General features: G+C 48.6%; 1 long non-coding RNA gene across 1 annotated transcript; it reads left to right on the top strand.

The window, feature by feature from the left end:
* Positions 1–2,584: 2,584 nt before the first annotated feature.
* TUSC8 (tumor suppressor candidate 8) lies at positions 2,585–8,319 on the top strand. The gene is made up of 2 exons (NR_104174.1): positions 2,585–2,955; positions 7,614–8,319. It is a non-coding gene; the product is annotated as a tumor suppressor candidate 8 (long non-coding RNA).
* Positions 8,320–8,885: the final 566 nt, after the last annotated feature.

The following is an 8,885-nucleotide window of genomic DNA, read 5'->3' as shown; positions in this document are numbered from 1 at the left end:
TGCCATTCTATCTTCAGTTTTTCATAGAACTCTTACTCAAAGTTGTCTTTGTTTTAGGTAAACCTAATTTGGGAGCGAGGAGGTGGGGAGATTGGAGTCCTTCTTTTTTTTTTCTAAGACAGGGTCTCACTCTGTTGCCTAGGCTGGAGTACAGTGGTGAGATTTCAGCTCACTGCAATCTCCACCTCCCGGGTTTAAGCAATTCTCCTGCCTCAGTCTCCCAAGTAGCTGGGATTACAGGTACCCACCACCACGCCCTGCTAATTTTTTGTATTTTTAGTAGAGAATGGGTTTCACCATGTTGGCCAGGCTAGTCTCGAACTCCTGGTCTCAAGTGATCCACCCGCATTGACTTCCCAAAGTGCTGGGATTACAGGCATGAGCCACCACGCCCGGCCCTGGAGTTCATAATGCATGCCAATGTCCATGAGCAATTTTAAGCATCAGGTTCATAAGCATTAGTGTCTAGGAACCACAGACCCTGAGAGCCAGCCGCGCCCATAAGGGTTCAGGATGAGCCTGAAGTGGAGGCTAATCAGGTGAGCTTGCCTCAGGCCTCCTGGAGCACTTCCCTGTGTCCTTGCTGGCACCAGCAGCTTCTCTTTAGCAAACACATTTCTTAGTGCCCTGGTTATGTGCAGGGTTAGACTGAATGCACAACACAGGCCCATCCGCATCGCCAGGTCTCTGTGACCCACTTGCGGTTGGATATTCTCTCAATGCTTCAAACTCAGCCGAAGTCTGTGATCTTGTCCACCTCAAAAATCGTATGATTCTATTTTAAAAACTGAGTTACGTATGTTCGCTAAAATGGAATCTCCCCTCTTAATTCATTCCCTGTCATTCTTCTGATATCTAAACCGTAAGGTCAAGTTAAAAGGGTAGAAGATGATCATAGATATATAGCTGTGATTCTGAGTCAAATTCCCAAACCCTGTCATCACCTCCCTGCAAGGTTCTTGAGAGAGAAAAATGCAAAAAAGGTAAGGCTCAGTAGGTGGGCTTGTGGCCAGGTGGGGGCACTGGGCTCAAATTTCCAAGGGGAGCCCTGGCAAGCTGGGCAGACACTCCCATTTCCTTGTTTCCTCATCATCCTTCAAATTCATATGAGCACCTACAATCTTTCAAGCATAGGGGAGAGAACAGTGAACAAAACAGAGCCCCTGTGCTCCTGAAGCTTATATTCTAGTTGGGGAAACAGAAAATAAATAAATAAAGATATATATACCAGCATAGGAGATGGTGGTTAGTGCTGTGCAGAAATCTGCTACGGCACGTGGTGGGCAGAATGTGTGTGTGTGTGAGCGTGCGCACGTGCATGTACATGCTTTACTATAGTTAGTGGTGTCAGTGAGGGCTTTTTGAGGAGTGACATTTGAAGAAAGAGCTGAGTGAATTTGAGTCATGGAAATATTGAGGGGAAAAGCATCGGGTGAAAGGAAGAGCATGTGCAAAGGCCCTTTGGTCTCACGCCGGGGGGTGGAGGCAGGCTTCGGGCCTTATCATAGAGGTCTGGGCAGCGTCATTTCTCTCCCCCTCAACGCTTGCCAAACCCTGGCCACTTTTTGGACACATACCCAACAATTTTTTAAATTATTATTTTTAATTGTGGTGAAATGCACATAAATTTAACATCTTAGCCATGTTTAAGTGTACAATTTGGCGGCATTAAATATATTTATTATTGTGCAACCGTCATCATTTCCGGAATGTTCTTATAATCCCAAACCAGAACTCTGTGCCCAGGAAACACCAGCTCCCCGTTCCTTCCTCCCCTGAGCTGCTGGCAGCCACTGTTTCCTTTCTGTCTCTATAAATGGGACCACTCCAGGTACCTCACACAAGTGGAATCACACAGTATCTGTCTTTTTGTGAGTGGCTTATTTCGCTTAAGCATAATGTTCTCCAGGTTCATCCATGTGGGGGCATGTGTCAGAATGTCCTTCTTTTTCATTGACGAATAGTGTTCCATGGTGTGGATGTGCCACGTTTAGTTTACCCGTTCATCCTCTACGGTTGGTGGACACCTGGGTTGCTTCTGCCCCTTGGCTATAGTGGATAATGCCTCTATGAACATGGCTGTACAAGAATCTCTCCAAGTCCCTCTTTCAGTTCTTTTGGGGACATTCCTAGAAGTAGATAGACAGTTTTAGCTCCCTTTTCCTTGAGTTGATCCACTGTGCTTTGCACGCTGCCCCTTGTTAGTTTATGTCACTGTTAGGGAGAGCGTGTTGATCGGCTCACCTGTTTCCCTCCTCTCAGCTGTAAGTTCCTGGGGAATAGGGAGTGGTGCTTGGCACTGCACCCCCTGATGCCATGGAAGGCGCACAGTCTGTGCCCCAGCAGGATTTATTCAGTGAGCAAGTCTGGAAAGGGCTGCTCCAGAAGGAGGGTGAAGGCTGGGCTGCACAGAGCCTGCACCTTCTTTGTATTTTTACATTGGGCTTCTCTGACTGCCCCTAAAATAAAAATGGGGATAATCCATTTTCCTGTGAGAGAAATGAAAACCCACGAAGACTAAATGTCCTGCCCGCTGTCCAGGTGCAGTGAGGGGCGTGGCCGGGACCAGAATCCCTGCTTCCCTGTTCTCTAGTCAGTGCTGCTGCTGGAAACCAGAGTCTTCTTTTGTTTTCCCTCTCACCTCTGGCTGCCTCTCTCTCCCCTCAAAGGTCAGAGCAGTGCCAAGGACAGAAGAGAGAGTAGATCCAGCCTTGGCCCTGCTAGGCTGGGCAGCCTGGCAGGTAGAGTCAGCAGGGATAGAGCTTGCTTTCCTGTTCACGATCTTCAGCCAAGTTCAGGGAGGTCTGAATACTGAGGCCTTCATAGCCACTGCACCCCAGGTAGCTCAGGAGAACCTCCGAGCGCAGGAGTGCAAAGGCTGGCATTCTTCAGGCTCTGAGGCTGTCCCTTCCGGTGGAGGTGAACTGCTTCTTATTGATGTGGACAAGACTGTGGGTATGTGTCTGAGTGTGTGGAGGTGATATAGAGAGGCCTAAGGGGTGTGTGTGTGTGTGTGTGTGTGTGTGTGTGTGTGTGTCAGGGGGTGAGTGTGTGTATGAGAGAGGCAGAGGCAGCGGGAGAGAAAGAGAGCGCAATGCAGAGAAGAAAGCAGAACCTTCCTCATAGAGTTTTGGGGGTTACGTGATCTGAAAAGCACTTGAAACAGTACCTTGCTCACAGCAATGGCTGCGTTGATGATTTTTATTGTTATAGAGGCACAGACACAGAGAAAGGCAGAGAGGGAGAGGGGAGAGTGGGGAAGGAAGGTGGGAGGCGGCAGGAGCGAGGAAGAACTACATTCTGGAAACCTCAGAGATTTAACAAAAGGGTGGAATCTGGGAAAAGCTCCCCTGCCTGCTTGTTCTCTTATAAAGCTGATTATGCTTACCTTCCTCCCCCATGGTATTTTAAACTTAAATAACACAGTCTCCATTGTGTAAAGCAAAATAATTTTCCAGATTCCCTGTGTACCTCAGTGCACCATGCTTAGGGAATCTGCCCGGCAACACAGACAGACTGTGGGAGTATGCCGCGGAGGCTGCGTCCCCCGCTTGCTGGTTAGGGTGCTCCTGTGTGCCCAGCCTTCCAGGTCTGGCCTCCCCCCAGCCCCCCAGCCAGCCCCCAACACAAATCATTTGGGCTTTATCTTATCTTTAGCAGGAGAATGCTTCCCAGATGTGTAGGATTAATGGTGAATATTACACAGCACCCCCTGGACAGAGATGGGTCCTGGGTGACTCCAGGCCCTAAAAACCTTTCTCCAGCGTGGACTAGCGGGGAGCTCCAGTCCCCACCTGAGAGTTGAAGGAGCATCCCCTCCCTGCTTTGCGATGGCTCCAGAGACAAGACGTGTGCCCTGCCCCCACCCCACATTGTCTACTTTGATTTACAGCACAGCCATCACAGGGGGACCTTTTTGGTTAACATTTACAAAAGTGCTTTCTGTCTGGTTTCTAGATGGAGACTGACAGGATCCTGGCTTGGGGGCCTTCCGGCAGGGCTGGCTGCTGGGCTGGCAGGCTCTGGCGCTCCCCTTCCCCAGAACTGACTTTGTTCCTGGCAGCCATGGTGGCTGCACTAACCACATTCTGCCTCCACCTTTGCACTAAGAAAAGCAAATAAGCAGACCACAGAACTGTTTGCATTTGCCCCAGATGCTCCCTGGCTGCGGGAAGAGGTCAGTAGGGAGCATGCAGGGAGAGGGGAAGGGAGACCAGCTTCTGCAGGGAGGGCACGCTGGAATCTAGGCTTGGGGAGGGACGAAGGGAAGGCTTGTCCAGCCCAGCACAAGCCTGCGGAGGGGCACTGTGGGCACAGTGCATGAAGTCTGAAGAGGTGATGTGCTAGATACCCCAATCCCTGGCATATTCTGCATTTCAAAACAGAGAATAAGTAGTCTTGCCACTATAAAGTGGCAAGAGCTGTTCCTTAGCAAGAGAAAGAGAAACAGAGACAGAGAGAAACAGACACAGAGAGACAGAGACGGAGACAGAAAAATACACAGAGAAATGGAGAGACAGAGAGAGAGACATACAGAGAGACAAAGGCGTAAAGAGGCCCCCCGCACCCTAGGGATATGTTGTCAAGGGTGGCTTTTTTGTTATGAAGATTGCAGCCTATTTTGCACGGCTGGCCGGCCTGGGGCTCCTGCCGTCATTGCTGCCCCAGGGAAGGCTGCTCGCTGGCTTACTCCCATCCCCTTGCCACTGGCAGCAAAACCAAGCTGGGTTATGACATCAGCGACTTTTCCCCTTCTCAGCCCCAGGGTAGATGGGCCAGGTTGGAAAGCAGCAGGAAACTTTTCCAACACTAACAAACAATGAGCTCAGGTAGCAAGCCCTGATATTAGAAAACGGGAGGGACCCTTAGGGGTTTCACTCAGCCTGAAAGGGAGCCATGTCTTTCCCAGAGCCAAGTCCCAGTCCCTTTTCAGGGCAGCCAGCCAAGCTGGGAGATTGGGAGCTGGAAAGATGTCCCCTGAAATACAGGTTTGGTGACTCTAACCGTGAATGGCCCCGATTCACAGGGGAGGGTTGCTGTTCCTTTGCCATCCTTTGCCTATTTGCAGCACTTGCTGAAAGATAGAAAGAAACACCGAGACAGGAGCTTGGGCTGTATAGGCAGGGGACAAATGAAATGTTTTCCTACTGTGTAAAAAGTTCAAGTGTTCCCATATATGCAGAGCTTGGAACAATGTCATCAACTCCTCTTCGTTTTTTTCCAAACAACCTCCTTTAAGACACAGCAAACAGCAGTGCTGCGGAGGTATGTCTAATTGCAGATACTTTTTGTTCATCATCGTATTGAACGTCGTTGCGTGTTCCAGCAGCCATCAACTTCCTCAGGAGGAAAATTCAATTGTGCACTGAGCGACAGCGTGAAGAGACCGGGCCAAGCAGGCAGGGTGCTGCAGGTCAACAAGGTGCTGCTGTGCTCCTGAAGCCTTCAGGAGCCTCAGCCTGAGAGCTCAGGAAAGGGTGGGGCTCCAACCCACCTGGCTTTCCGCCTTACTGAGCTCCAAACACAGGCTTGTTCCACATCACGGAGAGCCCTTATCCTGCATGTGCGTCTCGCTCCCTGACAAGCCTATTTGTGCCTTGTCACCAGAAATGTACCTTTTTTCTTCTCTCATCTGTCCCTGACACCCCCAGCTTATCTAGCCTGAAGAGAGGCTATCAAAATGGTAATAGCCAGATGGAAAACAAGGAAAAATAAGCCCTTTCCCATAAGGAAGCAATACGGATTTTGGAACCGGAGAAATTTCTACTATTCTCCCAACATCATTCCCTCCGCCTTGGGTGTGCTTCCGAGAGGGTTGGAGGTGTCACCTGCCGTACCCTAGGACTGGCTGAGGGAAAACACACCTGAAGATTTCCTGTAAATGAAAAAGTGAATCACTAAAAGGGGGAGCTGTCATCCCCTGGCATTTCTCTGTGCACAGGCGACCTAGTGTTGGGATGGCAGCAGAACCCAGACAACTGAGCCAACACGTGGAGGGAAGCCCTCACTAGCCTGCATTCGACTTGTGTGAGAGAGAAGTGAACGTTTACGTGCAAAGCCACTGAGCTTTTGTTGTTGTTCCTGCAGCACAGGGCATTCTAACCTGCCTAATACTGAAACGAGTACTGTTAGGCTTGATCTGTGAAGAGGAGAACATAAAAGGCCTGCATATTCTCTTTTAGGTCCTAAAAATGCAGTGCTCTCTTCTTGGCCTTGCTGTGACCAGGCTGTTTAAAATCTGTCACCCCGCCAGTCGCCACTGTATTATCTTGCTTTATTTTTCTTCATAGTATTTATTGATAATTTATGTGCTTATTATGTCTCCCTGACTGGAATGTAAGTTTCATGAAGGCCAGGACTTGTGCCTTAAAACAGGGCCTGGCACAGAGTAGGCACTTAATGTGTATTTTTGAAAGTGAATTGTGGGCTGAAAATTCTGATTTTTCAAAAAAGTTAATAAAGGTGAAGGCCTTCCTTGCCTTTATTAAATGCTTAAAATGGATCAGTGGTGGGGTAGAGATGGAAGGAGTCACACACATACTGTACCTTCAACGGGTTTCAATCTAACTGGGAGACAAAATATAGAAACATGAAACAAGCAGAGAGCAAATCTCTAGGTACCTAAGAGTTAATTAAGTACTAAGGGTGTACTTAAATTTGTGAGGGAGGAAGGGGAAGAGGACTGTCCAGAGGTATGGCTAACTACCAAAAACTCTCTGGAGCAGACAGCTTTGGCAGCAGACTGAGAGCAGGGTTCTCCAATTTGAGCTTGCAGAAGAATCACCTGGAAGGCTTCTAAAACCTATACTATTGGCCCCACCCCCAGAGTTTCTGATTCACTAGATCTGGATTATACCTGGGGATCTTTTTTTTTTTAGACAGAGTCTTGCTCTGTTACCCAGGCTGGAGTGCAGTGGCACTATCATAGCTCACTGCAACCTCGAACTCCCCGGTTCAAGGGATCCTCCCACCTCAGCCTCCCCAGTAACTGGGATTTCAGGCATGTGCCACCAAGCCCGGCTAATTTTTTTTTTTTTTTTTTTGAGATGGAGTTTCATTCTTGTTGCCCAGGCTGGAGTGCAATGGTGCAATCTCAGCTCACTGCAATCTCTGCCTCCTGGGTTCAAGTGATTCTCCAGCCTTGCCTCCTGAGTAGCTAGGATTACAGGCATGTGCCACCACGCCCAGCTAATTTTGTATTTTTAGTAGAGATGGGGTCTCACCGTGTTGGCCAGGCTGGTCTTGCACTCCTGACCTCAGGTGATCCACCCACCTCAGCCTCCCAAAGTGCTGGGATTACAGGTGCCCACTGCCGTGCCCAGCTTAATTTCAGTATTTTTAGTAGAGATAGGGTTTCTCTATGTTGGCCAGGCTAGTCTCAAACTCCTGACCTCAGGCGATCCACCCACCTTGGCCTCCCAAAGTGCTGGGATTACAGGCCTGAGCCACCACACCTGGCCTCACCTGTATTTTAAATTGAGTTTTACTGGGTAACAGCCATGGTCATTCATTTACATATTGTCAAAGGCTGCTTTCAAGCTACAACAGCAGAATTTAACAGTCTCAAGACCATATGGCCTGCAAAGCCTAAAATATTTACTGGCCCTTTACAGATAAAGTTTGCTGACCCCTAGAGAGGAAGTCATGGCCCATGGCTGGCAGATGGAAGCCTCAGGACCTGAAGATTTCTCAAAGAAAGGGACCTGCTGCTGACAGCAATTAATATATGTTCACAGCTTGCAGCTGAAGCCTGATGATGGCTGTAGGAGAAAGGACATCACCCAGATGACATTTTGCCTCCAAAGCTCTGGGGACCAATTGTGGAAGAACTGCAGGGATATTATGTTAGAATGTTCTTGTGTCTGGATAGGATGAGAACTGTCTTATAACAAAGTGCAGCCCCCATGTCTGAGGGCATGTTTCCTGTGTTTAGGCACTTCCGAAGCAGGGAGCACCTTCAAGGGGCACTGGCCTTCCCAGAAACAGTGTTTGACCTGTGATGATGTCCTGGGGGAGGGGACCTAGGAAAAGACCTTAGCCTTTCCATAAGGCACGATTATTCTCCTCTATAGAGCCTCAAAAGTCAAGTCAAGTAGCAAGCACACTGTGCTCCAGTCTGTGGCCACAGACACACACAAGGACTGGAGCAAAACCAAACATAGTGTATCATCACCGCTGAACCCCCAGGAGCCCCCAGATGCTTTTGAACGTGAAAGGAGAAAGAAGCTGTCAGAGATCAGGTTGAATGTGGTGGGTTAGGTGTGCGGCATTGCCTCTGGGTCCCTGCTTTGGTTTAATTAAACTAAGTCTGGTGGTGAATTGGTTCCCAAATGTTCATTGGTGGATGGGCGGCATCAGAATTGTCTACATCTTTTAAAAAACACGTACGCAAAACCTATGCATGTCTTCCTCTGAGAGTTTGATTTTCAGCAGGCTTGGGGTGGATTCCTACTTTTAAGAACTCCCCACGCCCGTCCTAAGTGATTGTGATTCCCAGTAAGTGAATGCTGACAAATTGAACCTTCCAGCATGGACATTTATTTATGAAATAAATGGACATTAATTTCACAGTCTTTCTATGGATTCGAGGTGGTGCTGGATCCACAGGCTCACCTGGCCCCCTAGCTTTCTCTGCAGAATCTGCCAGTGTGCCTTCAATCCCAAAAGAAGTCGCTTTTCATGTGCTGCTGGAGCTTTTGATTGGCGGTGACTGAGATGGGACTTTAAGTTCTCACCAGGATGCAAAGTGGGGTTCCAACTTTACTGCTTTCTGAACCCTGCTGATCTGTCCCCAACCAAGGCTTGATTTTCTTCTGAAGCGCAGTATTTTTAAACTGTGGTTGAAATCTATTCATGGGCTATAAAATCAGTTGTTGAGGATGTAA

The sequence above is a fragment of the Homo sapiens genome, chromosome 13, assembly GCF_000001405.40.
Source record: "Homo sapiens chromosome 13, GRCh38.p14 Primary Assembly".
NCBI lineage: Eukaryota > Metazoa > Chordata > Mammalia > Primates > Hominidae > Homo > Homo sapiens.
Note: the sequence above shows the minus strand (reverse complement) of the source record. Positions and strands in the feature narration are given on the sequence as shown.